Genomic DNA, 22,643 nt, shown 5'->3' on the forward strand with positions numbered 1-22,643 from the left:
CACAACATCTTAAGGTTTAATCTGATCTTTGTCTAAAATATTTTTTTCAGAACCCATTAAGTACGGTGTCTTCCCAAAAAAGATAAGTGTGTTGTCATAAGTTCCTGGTATTGGAAAAAGGAGTCTGTGTTATTTAAAGAAGCCTTGTCTGCTTCCTTAATTCCAATGCCCCTTTTCCATGCCTTCCTACCTTTCCTGGTAGTCATTCCTGGACTGAGGTAACTGCAGATTTTATAGTACTTGGGACTATGCACTCCCTAAGGCACAGACCGTATAAGAATTGCCTCTGCCAAGGGCTCCTAAACTTGGAATTATTTTTTCTTTAATGTCAGCAGGACTAATTCCACCTATACAAAATGGTTTGGCCTTTTCCTTCTTTGGCACAAAAGAGACTTGGCAGAGGCTCAGATAAAGGTGAAGTTGACGAGCTCTGGCATGGGAGTGAGCTCAGCGCTTCTGGGCTTTCATTCCCCCTGTTCGTCTCATGTTCAAAATCCCCATTCCACCCAGAAAGTCTTCCCTTCCCACCAGTGACACCGAAAGATGTTTCAGATCCTTCTTCCTTTGTCTCCAACACACACAGCGAAATGCTGCATGCCTTCATTTGCAGAAAGTTACCCAACTGGAATCACTTTAATATTTTTTTTTTAATCTCTTTAGGTGGATGGAAGTTTGCTTAGTTGAAGAATTGCCACCAACCACTGAATTGGAAGAAGGGCTCCGGAATGGAGTTTACCTTGCAAAGTTAGCCAAGTTCTTTGCCCCGAAAATGGTATCAGAGAAAAAGATCTATGATGTGGAACAAACACGTTATAAGGTAACCAAGATCTAATTGGTTTTGGCTTCCAGCTAAAAGTGAAAGTTTGGTATTTCATATCCTCTCCCTTCTTTTACTCTTAGTGTTTCTGTAAGGATTTGGGGGGCTGGGGGATGTCTTTGGAGCCTGTTAATAGCATTCCTGAGGCAGCAGCAGTTTTAAAAAGCAAAGTGTTTCTATTTCTGGTCTGACACTAAGAGACCTCTGACTTATGGGGCTTCCCAATGCCTCCCCCAATTATTCCTTCAGGGAAGTCACTCTTGACTTTATTAGTGCCAGTAAAGGTAAAAGTGGGGGCATGCTACCACTCCTTTTTTCACTTGAACTTGTGGCCCTAAAGAGTTAGGGCCAATGTGATAAAACAAGTAGGAAGGTCGAATGATCAGCCAAGAATTCTTTTCCATTTCATGTTTAAAGCAAGATACGACTAACCACTTTGTGTACAACTAGTTTTAAGAATTGTTTCAGGGCTAATTTGGGAAGCATTAGAAAATAAAAAGCTATTGTAGCCCTTTTAGAAACATCACAACAGCTGAGTGTGGTAGCTCTTGCCCATAATCCCAACACTTTTGGAGGCCAAGGTAGGAGGATTGCTTGAGCCCAGGAGTTCAAGGCTGCAGTGAGCTATGATCACACCACTGCCCTCCAGCCTGGGTGACAGAGTGAGACCCTGTCTCTAAGATAATAATAGCAAGAAGAAGAAAGATCAACAATAAAAACCGCACTGTTATTTAAATTTAGAAGGAGGAGGGAGAAGAAAACAAAATTAAAATAAACATCAATTTTATAGTAATAAAAATCCCGATTTTTTAGAGATACATATCAAAGTATTTACAGATGAAGTGATAGATCTAGGATTTGTTTCAAAATAATTGAGGGGAAGGTAGACAGATGATAAAAAGCTGGCCATGAGTTCATAACTGTTGAGTTGAATGATGGGTACATAGGAGTTCATTATACTATTCTGTCTACTTTTTTACATTTGAAATTATATATTCAGAAGGAAAAGGAAAAAGCAAACGCCAACCTAAAAGGCTCCTCCATTAGCAATGTATCTTCAAAACAGATTTTTTAAATGTCTGGTGTTCTATTCTGCAATATGTGACCTCTTGTCTGCTGCAGGTCAAGGTTTCTAAAGCTTCTTTGAAACTTGATCTTTATTTTTTTAATGCATTCAGTTCTTTATATCAATATTTTTTATCTGCAGATTTTCCAGTATTCTGAACAGTTATTTCTCTTACAGCTGTAGGGAATATGTTGCATATAGTTGGAAAAGGAATGATTTCCCATTTATTGCATGATTCATAGTACCCTTCACTTCTTTAGGCAAAATATATTCTTTAAATATGTATATTAAATACAGATAGAATGTTTGAATAATCTTCAAGGTTAACAGTAGACAAGATTACTTGTCAAATTTATTTTGAGTCTGTTTTTCTAGTCTGGTCAAAAAGGTCACTGAGCAAAAGTTTTTGCCTTGAATAATGTTATAAATAAAAATGTTTACATTTATTAAAGTAAATTTGTGTTCATGAAGTTTCACTCCAGAGTTCCAGCTCATTATAATCTTCCACAAGACTTTAATAAAACAATCATTTAGCCGGCTAAAATTGAAGTTTAGAAAAATTTTTTGAGAAATGTTTTTAGAAATTCAGAGAAGCCCAGAAAAAGACCATCTGTATCCTCTCTCCACAAAATAAATATTAGTCCACATTTTAGACTACAGCTTGTCTTTTTTTCATTGCTTTTATTTTGGTTATAATCAAGATCTAGGTCTGTCAGTACCAACACGTATGTAGATTTGATGATAGAGTTAAAGCGTAGTTGGGGTAGGCTCCAGCTCCACTGAAAGGGAATTACAGATTTTCTTTTGGCTTTCATGAACTGTGAGAATCAGGCTGGGAAGACGGGCCCTTCATGGAAGTGAGCCTCAGAGCAGTATGTGTGCTAGTTCTTTTCTCTTCCTGGAATGTTGTATACCTTGAATATAGGAGTGTCCTTCCTGACCAGCTCAGGGCCCTCATGGCAGTTGCCTCATGGCAACTTAAACAGGTACCTTCTCCTCCTGGCATCAGATATCCTATTATTTAAATGAATAGCAACTTCTCTTTAGGATGGGGACAGGGGAAATAATATTCGCAATTTCTGGTTATGGAATAAAATACTTGCGGGGCGTAGGCAGGTGATGACATACATCCCCAAGTGAAACATCACAAGAGGGAGGCCACCCCTGCCCCATCAGATCCCTGGAAGGCCGGGTGGCACAGAGGTGATGCTGGGAGAGGAGCAGGAAGGAGGGAGGTGCAGCAGGAGGGAGATCGTGGCCAGCTGTGGCGTGGGAGCCCATCCTTGCTGAGCTAAAAGAAAAAAACATAAGACAAATGGAAAGGACCCCTCTGTGGATTGACTACAGAAAAGAGGTTTGTTTTTTTCTTTATTAAATCCCTGAAAGTGCCTAGTGTTCTTGATGGAAACTTTGAGTGATTTGCCATGTAATCATAAAATCTTATTTTAGCGCCTTTTCATCTCTCATACGAAAATGAAAGGAGATAAATATTAGCAAATAGATAATGCAACTTCCTGATCTTGTGTTCTTCAGGACTGAAGCATGTCACATAGCCCTTTGCAAGGAGAGCTAAATCATGGGACTAAGGCAAAGATGTTGAAGCACGAGGGAACGCTCAATAACCCAGCCCCAGCCCCTCGTGCCATCTGGAAACCATGAATTCAGTGAACTCGGGCTCTCGCTGCAGGGTCTGCCTAGACTGCAGCCATAAAATATGTCAGCCTTGGCACTGGCAGCTTTGATGGCCATCAGTTAGGCAGACAGGAGCTTTTGTGCTACCCCCTTCTCTTTGTCAGCTTATGTACAACCCTAGTTCCTCATTAATTTAGGGTTGGAAAGATGTCCTGAGTATTAGAGTTCAACTTTCCAGTTATAAGTATTTTTTCCATGGCCACCTCCGCCCTCCACACCAGGTCTGAGTTACATGCCCACGCCATGTGCACTGCAGCTCCTGACACAGTCTCTCTTGCACATGCCATAGTGTATTGTAAAGTGGGCAGGCACCGTATGTGCCTCTATGCCCCATCCCCAGCAAATGGGGCAGGGTCTTATCCACAGTAGGAACTTGGGGAATAGCTGTTGGATGAAGGAATGAATGACAATAGTTTCACATAAGCCAAAGGATTCCATTCCTTTTCTTACCTTCTGTGCTTTATTTGGTACATACTCAGTATGCTGAGTGTGATACTCTTCCTCTAAGAACGGTGCTCAAGCCTCCTGCAGAACCACCTAATGGGTGTGTGTAAAAATTGGATTCCTGGGTCCCACCCCAGACTACTGAGTCAGGCAGCATCTCTTGACCCAGGAAGCGGTACTCTTAATAAATCACCTGCAGGTGATTCTTTTCTTCTGCACTTTGAGTTGAGAACCACTGCTCTAACAGGTGAATAAACATTAATATAACAAATTGCAATACAGTTGTAGGGAAGGAAGATAAAGGTATGCCACGATAGAAATACATATAGGGTAGAATTCATTCATCCATGCAACACTTATGAAGACCCATTGCATGTCAGGCACTATTCTAGGCACTAATGGCAGAATAGTGAGCCAAGCAGACAAGGGCCTGGTTTCATGGTGGCGGGGAGGCAGACTAAGTGAATTTATAGCTGTGAATTGTGATAAGTGTCTGAAGGAAGACACGAAAGCCAGTGTTATGGGTAGATAGCAACGGCCAGGAGATGGGCTTCTCAGAGGAGGAGTTTACTCTGAGGATGGAAGAGTGAGAAGAAAGTCACCTGTGTGCAGTCAAGGGTGGGCACTGGGAAGAACTGTCCAAAGAGAGGGAGCTCATTTGTGAGAGACTTGCCACAAGGAGGAAAAGAGCTTGTCCGTAGCAGAGTGGTTGAAAGGGACAGTGGTGGAAGATGAGGCCAGGAAGAGCAGAGATGAGATTGCACAGCCATGCAGGCCCCATGGAGCACCTGAGATTTCATGCTATGTTGAGGGGACAGCAATCAGAAGCCTTGTGATGCCATATGGTGCAGTTTGCGCTTCAGAAACATCAGTTGCTGCTATACAGAGAACAAACCAGAAGGAGGATAAGAGGGGAGACAGAGTCCAGTGAGGGGATAACTCAGTCCAGGTGGCAGTGACCTGCACAGACAAGAAGTGAACTGCTTCAAGAGGGAAAACCAAGGGTGGATCCTGAAAAGGAAATAGAAATGGATGGAGGGCCATGAGAAGACAGCTGGGTGGACAGTGGGAGATGACCAAGGAGGAGGGAGCAGTCCCGTCCATTCTAAATGGGGTGTTTGGTGGTGAAGGGCCAGGAAGGTTTCCATGGTGGGGACTTGAGAGATTAGAGAGTGGTCCCAAGCAGACTGGGGCAGGCAGGAGAAAGAGGAATGGACAGAAGGGCCTTCCTTGGAGAGGTTTCAGTCTGACAAGGTTCAAAGATGAATAGTACTCTGAACAGCACCTTGATAATTGTAGGTTTATAATAAATTCTTGTCAAATAGGTAGGTGTGCCTTAGATAGGGAAGGCATGCACACAGTGGTTAGCAGTGTGAACTGTAGAATCAAAATACTTCAGCGTCTAGCTTCGCCATTAACTTTGGCTCTCTGAGCCTCAGTTTCCTCACCTGTGAAGTGGGAATACAGATTGAATATCCCTAATCCAAAAATCCAAGGTGTTCCAAAATTCAAAACTTTTTGAAGACCGACATGACACTCAAAGGAAATGTTCCTTGGAGCATTTCGGATTTCGGATTTTGGGATTAGGGATGCTTAGTCAGTATGTCTGATGCAAATATTCCAGAATTTGTAAAAATCAGAAACTCGAAACGCTTCTAATGCCAAACATTTCAGATAACAGATCCTCAATGTAATAACAACAGTATCTGCCTTTGTGGAGATATTGTGAGGCACAAAATGATCCATGCAGGGCACTTGGCATGGTGCCTGACAGACATGAGCATCTAGTGAATATTGGAGGCAGTGCTTGTTCTAAGGTACTTGAGCAGTAAAATGAGTATAATATTTGGACTTGAAGTCCAAATATTATGGGATTCTGCAAGGGAGTCTTAACCTTGAGCCTAACAAGTTAGGTCAACTCAAGCATCTTACTTATTTGTGCCATCAGTTTCCTCATCTGTAAAATAAGCAAATTTGGATAATGTTATTTGTTTCTAAACTACCTCCTGGTTTTAAAATGCTCTAATTCCAATATGTAGAATGTTAGCATCCAATGATGACAATGTAATTCCTCATCTATGCAGTTTAAACTAGATGAACCATGTTTGCTGGTGTAATAGCTCAGCAGTGGAAAAACAGCATATACTTCCTGGTCTAATACCTGAAAGAAATTAGGTGTATGGATAACAGCAACCCTTGGCTAAATCTGACTGTAGACATGTCACCTCATCTAATAGTAATATACAGGACTGGAGCGGGAAGAAAAGACTTGTTAAAGATGATTATAGTGGACTGGGATTATTTCAAGCCTAATTAGAAGACCATTTTCATTCTAAGTGAAGCAAACTCAGTATGTTGACAATGTTATTGCTGCAATTCACTAACGAAAGTGTGCTAACATGAATCACAGGATTCTGAAGTCAGCATTCTCAGGTAGTTTAAAAGGATGAAGGATTTGAAATCTGTCATTTCATTTGTTGCAGAAATATGACCAAGATAACCACCCTTTTCTTCAGTGCCTCTTAACATGAAGCACTGAAATTTTTTCTGACCTTAAAGGTAAACGAAAGTTCCAAGCCTAATCTTGTATTGTAATAATTATAATAGCTAATATTTACTGCATTCTTAGGTGCACTTTGCAACTAAATACCTTCCATATATTCTCAGATTAATCTCTGCAACTCAAAGAAGCATTTTGTGGCTCAGGAACCAAGGTTCAGAGAGATTTCTATCTTTCCTGAGATTACTTTGCTAACAAGACCACTAAACACATGGGTGTCTTTGTTACATAATTTGGGATTGTTGGAGCCCACCAGTTTTGGACACCAGAAGCCCTCTGTGGTCAAACAAGATTAGGTTTATTTAACTTGTTGGGCAAGAAAAGTGCATACCCATATTGCCACAGTGAAGAGAAATGAGTAGATTTGGGCTTGTGCTGGGTGGTTCTAGTAGGGATTTAGGGAAGCAAGAACCCATTTTCTTTTGGGTGTCATCAGAAAGTGGGATCAATTTGGTGTCTTGGTAATTTTTATCTAAGAGGTGGGAAGATTGAATAGGGACTTAGATTGTCATCAGTAAAGAAAGCAGAGTACCTCATATTAGTTGGAAGAGGGGGACATTATTTATTTTGTGGCACAGAGGGTTCTCATACCTGTCTTGGTTCAGACTTGATTGTGGATTGTTTCTATCTTGTTCTTCCATGGTCACAGAGTGGCCTTGTCTGAAAATTATTTGCATAAGCAAATTTTTGCTGAGTTATAAACACTCAAACAGTATAGCCTGACCTGTCAACTCTCTGGGCTCTGTTTATTCCTTTTCCTTCTTCCCTTCCTTCAACTCTCCCTTCCTCTATCTAGTTCATTAGTAGTTAATTTTTGCCTTCCAAAGAATAATCAAACAATCTAGGTCCTTCATTCTTCTCTGATAGAGTGTTAGCATAGGGAAGGTTTTCAGATCCGGAGAGATGTAGTCTTGAATCCTAGGTCAGTCAGTTGACAACTACTTGACTTTAGGCAAATCACATCATCTTTTTGGTCTATCTTTCCATATCTTTAAAAAATAGAAATTTATTCCATTGTGTGAATGCACCAGAGTTTATTTAATCTTATTCACCCACTAAAGGACATTTCCATTATTCCCAGTTTGAGTCTATTAAAATAAAGCTGTTATGAACACTGCAAAAAAAAAAATAGGAATGATAATTACCTTTCAGGGTGTTTTGAAAATTAGGGTTAATTTACATGAAGTGATTGGAACACATGGTTCAATCACGAATAGTGGCCACCATTGAGAAGGCATAAACATTTGTCAAATGTTAATTTGCTTATACTTTATATTTCTAACAGCAATGAAAATACTTTTTATACAACAAATTATTAGATTGTAGAAGGTAACAGAAGGTGGGGAGAGCCAAACTTTCTGAATGTGATTATCTACTACTGAATGTTAGTTATATGGTAAAACTTGCTATAGTTATTGTTTTGTACATTTATTAAAAATTACAATAAATAGATAACATGGTGCTATGCATTTAATTAGTGAAAAGCACAAGATCATTTTAAAGTTCTTAATGGTTCATTCCTGATAAATTTTTATGAGATACAGGCAAGAATGCTATACTTACAGGCTGTGCAGAAGGAATGACTATCTGATGAGGGCTATAAAGAAGAAATGGAAGATACACAAAAGCTATTTTTATTGTAGGGGTAGAAAAAGATCTTGTTAAATATTTCTGCTGAAGGTTTGTTTCTTATATACAAGGCCAAGATCAGGGTTAAATTAGAAGAATCAATACTAAAGTTAGTTCTGAATTGTGGGATGGTTTTTGTTTTCATCTTTGTATTTTGCTATATTTTCCTATTTTCCAGGTTTTCTGCAGAAATATTCTATTCATGATTAGAACAAAAAAAAATGTAGTCTTCTAAAAATCCTGTCTTTTTCTGAAGTTGCTAGGCCTCTCAGCCATGGTTGCCAAAATCTGGACACCATGCATGTGTGTGTATGTGCGTACACACCCACGCCTGTGTACATGTGTCTCATAAAACATCCTTAAGCATGAGCTAGACATTAAACAGTCTTGGAGATTCTAGTTCAGAATTTACCTCAAACGTGTGAATTATGGAAATTCATGGTTCATCACAGATGGTTGGGATGTTGCCAAGATACATCCTTTAGCACGCCTCTGTTTGCTTTATGTGAACATTAATAACTCTGTTCCAGGAGAAATACAATTGAAAAGCATCCTGTACATGAAAAAAGTTATTGCAAATGACTCACTTTTTGTGTGGTTCCTTCTCTCCCTTTTTCCCTCCTATCGTCACTTTAGAAGTCTGGCCTTCATTTTCGACACACAGATAATACCGTCCAGTGGTTAAGAGCGATGGAGTCTATTGGTCTACCCAAGGTAAGCCTTCACGCACTGGAATCTGAACTAGAAAGGCAAAGGGGTAGTACACAAACATCTCTTTATGAGCAATGACTTTGGAGACTGGGTTATGTTAATGTAGAAATGAGAAATGTGAGGACTAAAAAACATGGAAAGACCTATCCAAAGTAACATATGGCAAGAACTCAGAATGAGGGATGTGCCCAGATTGAGAGCAGCCAGGTAAAATTGTGCACAAAATAAAGGCAGAACAAGCTATAGCTGGTAGATAGGTGAGCTATCTAAAATAGCCAACTCCCTTTCTTGTGTTGCTATTTGTACATAAAGATTCTAAGTCTCAGCCACTTTTGGTGGCTCATGCCTATAATCCCAGCACTTTGGGAGGCTAAGGTGAGAGAATCACTTGAGGCCAGGAGTTTGAGACCAGCCTGGGCAACATGGCAAGACCCTGTCTCTATTAAAAAAAAAAAAAAAAAGAAATCTCATTGTATTAGTATACACTTTATTACTGTAAATTATTATAAATTTATTTTTTGTAAATTATTGTTATTATTATTTCAAGACAGAGTCTGGCTCTGTCGCCCAGTCTGGAGTACAGTGGCTTAATCTACCACCTCCGCCTCCCATGTTCAAGTGATTCTCCTATCTCTGCCTCCCAAGTAGCTGGGAACACAGGCAAGTAGCTGCCCCATGCCCAGCTAATTTTTGTTTTTGTTTTTGTTTTTGTAGAGACAGGGTTTTGCCTCGTCGGCCAGGCTGGTCTCAGTCTCCTGAGCCCAAGCAATCTGTCCACCACGGCATCCCAAAAGTGCTGGGATTACAGGGATGAGCTACCATGCCCGGCGTATAAATTATCATTATAAATCATAATATCACTTGTAAAGGCTAGTGGGTTATAGCTCTTACTCCTAAAATAGATCTCCTAAATATAATTTAACTCAGCAAACATTCAGTGCTTGTTAAATTTGAAGAGCAGGCATCCTAAAGTCTGTGAGAGAATTAGGCAAGTGGAGGAAATGAGGAAATAATTACATTTGATAAAAATTGTAGAACTATTTTTTTAAACTTGTTATTTTGAAATAATTATAGAATCACAGGAAGTTGTAAAAATAGTACTTCTATGTTTATCCTTCATTCAGCTTTCCCCTAGTGGTGACATCTAACTGCAGTACATGTTAAATTGACATTGGTGTATTAGTGTAAACTAGACTACAGACCTTTTTCCATTTTCACCATTTCATATGCATTTATTTGTGTAAGTGGGCATGTGTGTGCATGTATGTGTGATTCTGTGCAGTTTTATCCCATGAATAGATCTGTGTAACCACCACCACAATCAAGACACAGACACACAGAAGAGTGGTCCTTCTGATTGCATCCCTCCCCCAGCCCTGTTCCCTGGCAACCACTAATATGTTCTCGATCTCTATAGTTTTGGCATTTTGAGCACAATATATAAGTGTAATCATATAGCGGGTATCCTTTGAGTCACATCGTTTCCACTCTGTATATGGTCCTTGAGACCCATCTGGGTCAATAGCTTGCTCCTATGTGTTGCTTAGTATGTACAGCTATTTTTTTTTTTTTTTTTTGAGACAGAGTCTTGCTCTGTCACCCAAGCTCGGGTGCATTGGCACAATCTCGGCTCACTGCAACCTCCGCCTCCCAGGTTCAAGTGATTCTCGGGGTTATCACTTACAGGCATGCACCACCACGCCTGGCTAATGTTGGCCAGGCTGGTTTTGAACTCCTGACCTCAGGTGATCTGCCCACCTCAGCCTCCCAAAGTTCTGGGATTACAGGCGTGAGCCACTGCACCTGGCCTGAAATCTGTTTCTTATCAGGCTGTTAGTTTCAAGTTTAAGAAAAAGAGTAAGAAATAGTATGTAGGATAACCCCCCGAGTTATCAAGTGTAACCTCCCGAGTAGCTGGGGTTACAGGTGGGCACCACCACACCTGGCTATTTTTTGTATTTTTAGTAGAGACAGGGTTTCCACATGTTGGCCAGGCTGGTCTCGAACTCCTGACTTCAGGAAATCTGCCCGTCTCAGCCTCCCAAAGTGCTGGGATTACAGGCATGAGCCACCATGCCTGGCCTGTACAGCTATTTTTAAAAAATTATTTAGGAGTGGTCTCGCTGGAGGTCAAGAGGATAAGCTACTGGCTTATGAAGACCTCTGTTGTGCCAGGTGTGCAGTGAAAAACACCCACTGCCACAGAAACAGAAGATTCTTTAAATGTAATTTATTAATGCCCATTTTTAATATAATTGTGCTCATATCTGTTTTAGGTCAGTCTCATTTTATCTTGAAATGATCAGTGTTTAAATTTTGTTCTGCCATTTTTAATCAAACTATTTTCTCTTCTCCTAAAATGCCCAGAACGTTAAATGCTGTTTCCTTCTAGGAACTGGCTGTAATACATAATTCATATTTCTGGATTGTGATTTAGCAACTACTAACTAGAGGCTGGATGATAAACCGATTAATAAAAAACGAATTTAAACAGAATTGTTTTGTATAAGGCAACATCAAATTCAGATAATTTCATTGGATTTGATAGATTTGATGTAAACCTTTTCAAATTGTATGTATTTAGGGCCAAACAAGTGGTGTTATAGAGCAGATTTTATTTTAACATTGGTTTTTATTATGAAGTCATTGATATATTGCATTGCAGGGGCAAGAGACTGTACTGAGTTGACTTTGATGTATCATATTTAACTTGTATTCCTTCATTTATCAATATTAAGTGCTTACTCTGTGCTCAGTATCATGCTAGGTGCCAGAAATACAATGCTGCATAAAACATTCTGGTGAATGATAAATTGATCTCATCTCCTTGCTGAAGGAAGTCATTTATAATGGCTTTCCAGGAGAAATATAAATATAAAAGATTCTTGTTTAAAGAAAAGGGAAGAGGCAATTGTAGTTATTCTCTGCTTACATAAAAAACTTTAAACCGGTAATACTCTTTTTTGTTGTTTTTTGAGACGGAGTCTCGCTCTGTCGCCCAGGCTGGACTGCAGTGGTGCCATCTCGGCTCACTGCAATCTTCGCCTCCTGGGTTCAAGTGATTCTCCTGCCTCAGCCACCCAAGTAGCTGGGACTATAGGTGTGCTCCACCATGCCCAGCTATTTTTTTTTTTTTTTTTTTAATTTTTAGTAGAGGCGAGGTTTCACCATGTTGGTCAGGCTGGTCTTGAACTCCTGACCTCACGTGATCTACCTGCCTCTGCCTTCCAAAGCACCACCATGCCCAGCTAATACTCTTCTGAATTTAGGGATCCTCTTCTCATTGATACTTTAGTAGCAAATGCATTAAAGGAAAGTTGGAAAGGCTTTTTAAATTTCTTAGGCTACTGCCATTTCTTTAAGTACTTAGTAATTATATATTTTGTAGCTCAAGAAACTTTGCTTCTTTCTTTTCTCAGCTTTTCTCAGTGACCAATAGGAAATTGCACTTGAGTATCACGTACTACCATATGATGCATTATTTTAGTTTTTGATGTCAGTTTTTATAAAATATTTACTTAAAGTAAATAATGTCTAAATGATTATCTTAATTTTAAAAGCCTCAAGCTTAATTATTTTTTGTGTGTGCTTAGGAACAGAGAAGTTTGGTGCCTCACTCTGAAATCTGTTTCTTTTGTTGATTTGTTTGTTCGTTTGTTTTGTTTTGAGATGAAGTTCTGTTCTTGTCACCCAGGCTGGAATGCAGTGGCACGTGCTTGGCTTACTGCAACCTCCACTTCCTGGGTTCAAGCAATTCTCCTGCCTCAGCCTCCCAAGTAGCTGGGATTACAGGCATGCACCACCACGCCTGGCTAATGTTGGCCAGGCTGGTTTTGAACTCCTGACCTCAGGTGATCGCCTGCCTCAGCCTCCCAAAGTGTTGGGATTATGGGCGTGAGCCACTGCACCTGGCCTGAAATCTGTTTCTTATCAGGCTATTAGTTTCAAGTTTAAGAAAAAGAGTAAGAAATAGTATGTAGGATAACCTCCCGTGACACACATTTACCTATGTAACAAACCTTCACATGTACCCCAAACCTAAAATAAAACATGTTAGAAAAAGGAAAAGAGTGTGAAGGTGTATTCAAAACTTTGATGTTCAGACCTTTCAGTCTAGTAATTTCATATTTAGATGATTATCCAAAATAATCAGATGCTCAGAAAATACAGAAATATTCATTGCAGTGGCTTATAATAGGGAAAAATTAGAAGCAAAACAAATGTTCAACCATGGATTAACTGGCTAAGCTAGGGTTCAAAAATATAAACGAATCATATACATCTATTAAAAATAATCTTATAGTATAATGAAGGGGATGGGAAATAATTGTGTTCTGTAAAGTGTTTTAAACAGGTTACACTAAGTACAATTTTGTTTTCACATGCACACATATATATAAACCTAAAAAAATCAGAGACATACAGAAAAAAAGACCAGAAGAAAAATAGGGACAAAATTGCTAATAGTGACAATCTGGGAGGTGGGGTCATAGATGTTTTTCCTTCATACCTTATATACTTTCCAGATTTTATTTGGTGAAAATGTCTTACTTTAAACAGATTTTTTAAATGTGTGTGTGTGTGTGTTGTATATGCATGTATACATGTGTACAGAGCACATATGCCAAGTTTTTAACAATGCAATAAAGTGGCTAATAACAAGGACACCCTTCTCAGGCCCATGGGACCTCTGGGAAGTCACAGGAGTGTGAAGGCTACAGGAGGCAGAGCCCACATGTGCTCATATGCCCTATGAAATGAAACACTGCCACTAGCACTGTGGACACAGCCTTCTTGGAGTAGCTGGCTGGGGACCCCACCATCCTCCTGTGGACCACTAAGAGGCATGCTGTCAGGCAGGGGTCCAGATATGGTGATTGGTCTATCTCTACAGCAAGATGAAGCAATGGCAGAGAGGTTCCTCTATATTTAAATAATTATAGGATAGCAAGGACAATCAAAATAGGGTCATTTTGGGAAGTTAAAATACTTGTGAGAAGCAAAACATATAATAAATATTGTTTCTTTTGTTTTCCAGATATTTTATCCAGAAACAACAGATGTCTATGATCGGAAAAACATACCAAGAATGATATATTGCATTCACGCACTGAGGTAGGGGGAAAATGCAGCTAAAAGGTGCTCTAAGAAGTAGATTTAAATAAAACTAAAATTTCAATTTTAAAAGAGGTTTTAAGTTACTTTAATAGTTTGAAGAACTTTTTATTAAATTCCATTGTTTTGGATTTGCTGGTACAAAATTAAAATAATGGTCACATATAAGCAATTCTTGAACTTGAAAAATGTTTTTCTGATTTTTAAATCTAACTCAAAATAGAAAACCAGAAAATGATTGAAAACCATTAAGTACAATAAAGAGAAAATTTAGGTTGAAACTTCTAGAAATCCAATTGTAATGTACTACTATATTCTTGAGTTATGACCTAGTTTACAAATATAATGCAGATATATCAAATGAGCAACTTTAATAGTCATAATTTTGGTTTAATGAGTTAAAATTATAATTTAGTTCAATTCTTACAAATTAAGAAAATAGAGGTAAGAATGGTTTCTTTTGATCTTCTGTTCAATAGAATTTGTACCCTAAGGATAAAGAAGAAACATAGTAGTTTGGTGTAAATTAGTCAAATCAAGACACATTCATTATTTTAAAGCAATTGTTCAATAACTTAATTTTTGAAAATGCTGAAATTCTGCTAGTTCACAGATTACATTTTATCTTATTGGCCTGGAAGAAATGTGATTTTTAGATGGTAACAAAGATTATTCTAAAAATCCAGTTTGTGGCTGTTGTCTTGAATGTACACAGGTAATGGTTTTGGAAGACTTCATGTCTGATTAAATTTTAAATTACTTTTAGAACATCTGCCTTGTGTTTTCATCACTAGAAGTCATTTTCCTGGCAGAGTACTCTGCCTAGAGGTTTATGTTGACTTCTTCCTGGCTCTTTTCCTCTCCAAAGGAAAATGCTTCTACAATAATTCATGGTGGTGTTGGCTTTCTAGAGAAGAAATTTGATTATGTCATATAATTTGACTTTTTCCCCCAGTCAGTACTTATGGGATTGCTTTGGAAGATGACAGTTGCTAGAAATATAGACCAAGTGTAGGTGCCTTTGCTATGATTTTTTTTTATTCTAGTAACTTAGAACAACTGGTTAAAAAAAGAAAAACAGCAACAGTAAAAACAAACCTACTTCATGCTGCCTTCTCAGATGTGGCGAGAGTATCATTATGCCACAGGTTTTCTAAAAGCTCCTTGTGCAAAAGTGCTTATGTTGAGGAATATTTTCAACTTGTGTTGCCTGATATTCTTTATTAAATATTTTTCTGATCTTAGAATGATAACACTATAGTTAGTACTGGGTCTATGAGCTGCTAAGCCAGCCACGACTAGTTAATGCCATTGCTACATGTGTGCATCACAGTGCTAATCTCTAGTTCTGTCGCATGCTCGTGGGCTGTCTCGTATAAGTTTCAATTGATTTTCTGAAATAGACAACTGGGACATTCATGTTAAGGAGCTTATAAACAAATGGTATGCTAAGTTCCTTTCTGGTGATATCATGGTTCTCCTAAAGGAGCTATCTAGAGCTGCACTTAGACTTACATGTGTATTTGCCATGGTTTTAACAATGGCTTGAATAGCTTGGTAAACAAAGAAAAAACAACTTTTTGTTTATTATTACCAATTGTATACAAATATTGATGTGATATTTTCCAGGACTGTGTTTTTCAGTTATTCATCATAGACATCTCCATTACTTTTACTCATCCTGGAGGGGATTCCTGTTGGGTCATGTCATTCACCAGATCTGATCTTAAGTAGGATATTTTATCTTCAAAAGCAATATTTATTTAGTAAATAGCATTCTCCTCGCTTTTCTTTGTTCTAAATTATTGTATAGCTGCCTCTCACTATGGAGCCGAGAAGTCCCAAGTGTATCTTGCAGCTTTTTCCACCAAAACTTGTTCCTGCTATGATTTAAAATGCAGTCAGTCACTCAAAGGAGGCTGATATTCTGCTTTGTTGTGCAAGACACATTTGAAAGCTGAGGAACAATCCTCTAATAAATACAGTGGGTTTGATAAATACTCTTGCTGCATAGTTAGAAATGATGATGGAAATGAACTAACATGTCTTCAGCTTTTATATCCTGGCTGCAAATACAGCACTGCTGCTGTATTTGAGAGTTGTTATTACCTGGTAGAGTAATTAGGCAGGTCAGAGATTCTGATTATAACTCAGAAGCCAGCAAGGAAGTTTCCCTAGGAAGTTAAGCTTGCCAGGCGCTGCCTTCTTCCTGCCCCAGCCTGTGGGCCTGACTTGATCTAAAAAGTTAGCTCTTAGCCCTGACCAAACTTGTCTCCTATTCCCTGTCATCTTGATTTGGGCTTAACAACCTAACTTCTGGGTGCTTATGCTTGCTTCCTGTTTGTATCTGTGTTCCCCTTTGCTGCCTGCCCCTCACCTTATCATTTTATTTCTGATCCCAGTCTCGTGTCCTACCACTCACCAATCCCTGTGTCAGTTTAGCTTGGTGTTCTCAAGCCAGACTCCATGAACATTACCACAGCAGCAAAGGGAGGAAATTCTCAAGCTTCACCTAATGTAGACAGACTCACCTTAGCGGTGGATGGCATCTTTTTTTTTTTTGAGATGGAGTCTCACTCTGTCACCAGGCTAGAGTGCAGTGGTGCAATCTCAGCTCACTGCAACCTCCACCTTCCGGGTTCAGGTGATTCTCCTGCCTCAGCCTCCTGAGTAGCTGGGACTACAGGCACGCACTACTATGCCCAGCTAATTTTTTGTATTTTTAGTAGAGACGGGGTTTCACCATGTTGGCCAGGATGGTCTTGATCTCTTGACCTCGTGATCTGCCTGCCTCAGCTTCCCAGTGTGCTGGGATTACAGGCATCAGCCACCACGCCCGGCCACATCATTCTTTTTCTAAAGAAATGTTTGTCTTTTTCTCATTTTTTCAAAAGTAATGTATGCTCATTGTGGAAAAAATTGGAAAATCCAGGAAGAATGTTAAAGAAAAAGCTAAAATACCCACTATCTCAACACCAAGTAAAAACCACTGTAACTATTTTGATATCTTTGAACTTAAAGTGTATACTGCGTATGGCATGTTTTACTTTTGTGGCTTCTTTTGGAATGTTATAAAGCCTCTGCCTTGAAAAGGAACCAGTTTAAGAGTGAGAGCCTTACTAACTAGTTACTATACTAATTTTTAAAAAATATCTGGAGGCCTTTTACGTAAGGGTAAGAACACTTTTTTGACATGTTGTTTAGTGCCCACCTTATTAAAGATGTATAATAAATGATATTAAACAACTGTTACTTGTTTAAACAGTCATAAAAGTGAGTTCCTTGAAAGAGTTGGAATAATTTAGTAGAAATGATGTTTTGAGTACTTCAGATACCTTAAAGAGCAGGTGAAATGCCCAGGTACGTTATTACAAACTTACTACACTGGAACCTATTCTGTAAGACCCATACTACAAGTTTCACTCATTTTGTTTATTATTTATAACTAGTTTTGAGTTGTCCTTGGCTATTATATTATTTTGATACCTACCCAGAATTGACATAATCTTCGTGGCACCAGAAACAAAAGAATACCCTTTCAAACCTGCCATGATTACAGATCTGGGTTTCGGATGGATCACTTGTGAGTCAGAACATGGCGCAACTTTGGGTTCTTCTCCCATGGCGAGTCAGACCCTGGCCACAGGCATCAGGCTAAACTTTCTTTGTTTAAAAAAAAAAAAAAAAAATCAGACCGCATTTAAGTACCCGGCTTTCAGGTAGGTCTTTATTTACAATCTGGTCCCCACCCCTGCCCCCCTTCCCCATTACCCTGAAATAATTTACTTTCTTAAGTCTCACTTGACCAGCATTGTATAATCCATTGTCCTGTCATAATGATGTATTGGCCTGATCCATTAACATTATTAAAAGCTTATGTATGCCTTTTAAATATTTTTTTTTTAATTAGTTGGGCTTTCTAGAGGTTTTCATCCCCTGGGAGACAAGGGATTGACTGTACCCAGTGATCCTTAGGCTTTTGGGCTGATTTATCATCTCAGATCATGTTTCTAGTCCTGCCTCCACTTAGTTAGTGGATGTGACCACCAGTGCTGGACCCTCTTTCTACCCGGTGTTTCTGTCACCACCTATGCTCCTTGGTTCTTCCTTATCTTGGGGCACTTCCTTTGTTTTCTGGGACTATTTAGTTTACTCAAAGTTCTTGGTCTTTATTCTTTCATGTAGTATAAATAGTATAAAAATATCTATATATAAACAAATATAGGCCAGGTGTTGTGGCTCATGCCTGTAATCCCAGCACTTTGGGAGGCTGAGGCAGGCAGATCATGTGAGGTCAGGAGTTTAAGATCAGCCTGGCCATGATGGTGAAACCTCATCTCTACCAAAAATACAAAAATTAGCCAGGTGTGGTGGCAGGTGCCTATAATCACAGCTACTCGGGAGGCTGAGGCAGGAGAATCGCTTGAACCTGGGAGGCGGAGGTTGCAGTGAGCTGAGACTGTGCCACTGCACTCTAGCCTGGGCAACAGAGGGAGACTCCATCTCAATTAAAAGAAAAAAAAAAAAGCATGGTGGCACACGCCTGTAGTCCCAGCTACTCGGGAGGCTGAGGCAGGAGAATAGACCCAGGAGGCGGAGATCACAATAAGCCAAGATCGCGCCACTGCACTCCAGCCTGGGCAACAGAGCGAGACTCCGTCTCAAAGAACAAAACAAAACAAAACAAAACAAACAAACAAAAAACAGATATAGAAGAAACAAAGTACTTGTGTTTTAATAATGCTCCCCAACTTGTTAAAGTCAATATAAATACACATTCGCTATTTATCTCTTTTTTTTATTACAACTTCCTTTTTGGACACTGTATATTATTCTCTTGATTATTGTTTTGAACCTGTGGCCTTTCTCAGACTTAACCAAGATTAATATCTCTTTCTTTTTGATGAACCAGATTGTTTCAGCTTGGTCAGTCTGAGCTCTTTCTGGCCCACTTCCTTGTCCTTCTAGCACCGTCCCTGACATTCTTTGAAATATCCTTGCTCGTGGTCACAACAGGATGTTCCAGTCCTATCCTGATTATTTCTGCTTTGAGATGTGGAACCACCACTCTCTAGGGATTCCTCTTAAAAGTCATGTGTTTATATTAATTTTTCAAGTTTAACCTTATTAGCTTACTGGATTCTGCTTTTCTTGCTGTCTAGTTCATTTGACCATTGAGATTCTTCTACATGGGCAGCCACAAACGGAAGCTATGTCTGCCTCTCCTCTGTGATAGGATTACTCTTCCCGCTGCTGATACTGTAGCTGTGTCGCAGCAGCCATGTTTTCAGGTGCAATGGTGATGCCATGGCTCTGGCAGACCCACTTCTGGTTCACCAGCCGTCCAGGTACTCTGGGAGCTTTGTGGAGTAGAGTTTGTCTAGCCAGCTCCCACACAGCCAGGTGGCTGTCTTGCTTACCAGGTGGCCTTTGAACCTGCTCCTCAGGCATTAATGCATAACTTTCCTTGTCTTAACACTCTGTTCCCTTAGAACCTTTTCCTTCCCTAAGAAACTGATTGAACCCTTATATCAGATTGATTATATCTCTAACAGTGAACATATTTGCATTTATAAATAAGATTTCCAAAGACAGTTTCTTAGCTCAAAGGACAGGCTCTAATCCTAGGTTCTCAGAAGGGATATCTGGAGATGGCAGTATTTGGAAGTAAGGTGAGGGAGGCAGTTGCACCTGCTTATTTCTTTCAAGTCCTTCCTTGCTCAGAATTCTCTCTGTGCTCTGAACCATTCCTTTCCCTTTCCTCCTCTTTCTGTCCTAAATTAGTATGGTGGTTATGCCTTTCTGTCTTCCTAAATTCTGAGCTCTTAAGAGACTATGAACCACATCTTGTTACTTCATACAGCTTACGTGCTATTGATTCCAAGTTAAAGTCTCTGGAGTTTGTATATTTAACTCTTCAGGAGGTTTAATTGAACTAATTTCTCTATGATAAGGCTACCTCAGGATTCCTTTGGTTTGGGGCTGAAAATTAGGTATAGAACCCTGGATTTTGATATGATATTGGCAGTGATATATGTGACTAAGATGGAAAAATTTGGTTCAGTAAATAAAACTATTTCAAACATGGAGTCTGTGGTGAAATAGAGATTCTTGGCATTGGAAAAAGTAAGAAAACCACTTTGATAGGTTATCAATAAGTGTTTGTATACAAAGGACACATTTATTTAACAAAGAATAGTAAGAACAAAGGTTAACACAAATGGAGCTTTTAACTATGTGCCTGGCACTGCACAAAATACTGTACTGGTATAATCTCATTTTATCTTCATAACATATCTGTGCAGTGGTCACTATTATTACTCCCATTTTATCACCAAGGCAGTTGAGGCACAGAGAGGCTGCCGAAGGTCACACAGTTAGTAAAAACCAGGATATGTGAGAACTGAACCTGTGCTATTATGAATTCAGCCAGCCAATGGCTTCAAAAGAAGTCAATTATTTCCCTACTTCTAAGAAAATTAAAAGAACACTGGTATCAGACTTGAACTTCAGCACAGGCCTCTCAGCTATTATATTTAACATGTTTTAAATGAAGAATCATGGAACTTGAGAAGGGGAAGGGCCTTGGGAAGTTATTGTAGTCTAAGTCATTCATTTCACAGATAAGGGAACTGAAAGCTTGGGTTACGTGACTTGCTCTTAGTCACACACTGAGGTTTTACCAGTTTTGGGACCAGGATTCAGCGCTTCTGGATTCTAGTCCTGTGGTCTTTCTGCTCTACCATGAGGCTTTGATATACAAACATTCATTCCACATGTTATAGTACAAAATGAGCTACACATAATGTGATCCAAGAAAGCTGAAATAAATTTAGCTCCTGCCTTTTAAGTTTGCATTTCATTACGATAGTACCTTTTAGTGTATATCCTGAAAGTATAGAAAAAACTAATACCACTAGTTTTATCTTGAAAGTGGTAGAAAAAACTAATGCCATGTGATATTGGCAGTAATGTATGTGACTAAGATGGAAAAATTTGGTTCAGTAGATAACAACTACTACTACTACTACTACTATATACTACTTTCATGATATACACTAAATGGTATTTTTTAAAACTTTCTTTATTGCTTCCTGGACTTTAAGTGATATTATTTGTACAAGTAGGAGCACATGGGTCAATGAGTCGGTAGCTACCTCTGGGCAACCCCTCCGTTGCTGGCCTCACTCAGCTGCACAGGTGTGCTGTAGCTTTTGGTGTGGTAGGAGGCTTGCTACCTCACAAAAAGTGCTCTCTTAGACATGAGAAGCAAAGGTGACATTAATTCCATGACTTCCTTTGGAATGCTCTCAGCCCTTTGACTTGGCTGTTAGGTACCAAACGGTGCTTAATAAATTAACTGTTGAAGAGCTACATGAGATTGGCACTTTTTCTATTCGATGGGCTTTTTTGTTTTTTAGATTAAGACTTGATTTCCTATATACTTCAGGTAATAAGCAGCCTCATTTGAATTTAAATGCTTGGGAAGGAAGTTTGCTATTGCTGTTTCTTTTCAGCATGGGAATACTGGGTAAACACAGTTTCCTGATAAACATTTGCCCGTTTGAGTAATCAGCTGGGAAGCACCTCCCACACAGAGATTAGGTGTAAAACGCCCATACCATGAAAAGTGATCTTTCCAAAGCTAACAGTTTAAACCTCAACATCAATGATTTAAAAAAAAAGAAAAAAAGTTGAAAATTGAGGCCAAACAGAAACTATACAATATTTTTTTTAATTTTTTAGTAAATGAGATTTTTTGATATATGCAAATGAGATCTTTACCTGATCAATATTAGCTTAAGAAAATATCAGACTTAAATTTAAAAGCAAAGATTCTTCCATGTTCAGAAAGCTAACTTCTCAGCACCACCTTGTGGTAACTTTTACTTAAGCCAGGATGTTTGTTTATTGTAAGATTTATATTAATATTACATTGTACAATGGAGAAATTAAAAATGTAATTGGAAATAGCTATCTAACTTCTTTATCATCAAAGGGGAAAATTAACAGTTTAGTATAAACATTTTACTTCATGTTATCATCAAACCTATATTTTGTGGTAGCCTAAGTACCTTAATTTAGGGATAGCATGGTAGAGAAAATTTTTTTTTTTTTTGAGACACAGAGTCTTGCTCTGTTGCCCAGGATGGAGTGCAGTGGCACAATCGTGGCTCACTGCAACGTCTGTCTCCCTGGTTCAAGCAATTCTCCTGCCTCAGCCTCCCTAGTAGCTGGGATTACAGGCGTGTGCCACCGTGCCCAGATAATTTTTGTATTTTTAGTAGAGATGGGGTTTCACCATGTTGACCAGGCTGGTCTCGAACTCCTGACCTCAAATGATCGCCTGCCTTGGCCTCCCAAAGTGCTGGGATTACAGACGTGAGCCACTGTGCCCAGCCGAGAAAAATATTTTTATATAGGAGCTGTTCCATAAATAGTAATTAAATGAATGAATGGATAAACAGAGCATAATGTGAAAACAGTTGCATCAAGATCATTGAGCACAGCTGTCTTATCCCCTTTCCAAAACTAACATGAAATTAACTACAGTAATAACTTTTAAAAAATACATTTGCGATAAAAATGCCATCTACTAACCAGAAATT

The 22,643-nt window shown here is 39.0% G+C and overlaps 1 protein-coding gene across 8 annotated transcripts in view, besides 1 other annotated feature; it reads left to right on the top strand.

Moving 5' to 3' along the window:
• Positions 1-22,643, top strand: part of IQGAP2 (IQ motif containing GTPase activating protein 2) — a 304,848-nt gene that overhangs the window by 158,451 nt on the left and 123,754 nt on the right. For all 8 annotated transcript variants that reach the window (NM_006633.5, XM_017008960.2, XM_047416641.1 and 5 more), the window contains 3 exons: positions 661-817; positions 8,845-8,922; positions 13,958-14,034. In NM_006633.5, coding sequence (NP_006624.3) covers positions 661-817; positions 8,845-8,922; positions 13,958-14,034 — 312 coding nt within the window. The remainder of the gene's footprint in view (positions 1-660; positions 818-8,844; positions 8,923-13,957; positions 14,035-22,643) is intronic.
• Positions 20,492-20,581: an enhancer, noted in NCBI's record as "active region_22692". NCBI's record gives its function as "activates an Ori minimal core promoter by ATAC-STARR-seq in GM12878 lymphoblastoid cells {active_cell/tissue: GM12878}" and the evidence as "EXISTENCE:reporter gene assay evidence [ECO:0000049][PMID:35858748]".

This window comes from Homo sapiens, chromosome 5, assembly GCF_000001405.40.
Source record: "Homo sapiens chromosome 5, GRCh38.p14 Primary Assembly".
Lineage (NCBI taxonomy): Eukaryota > Metazoa > Chordata > Mammalia > Primates > Hominidae > Homo > Homo sapiens.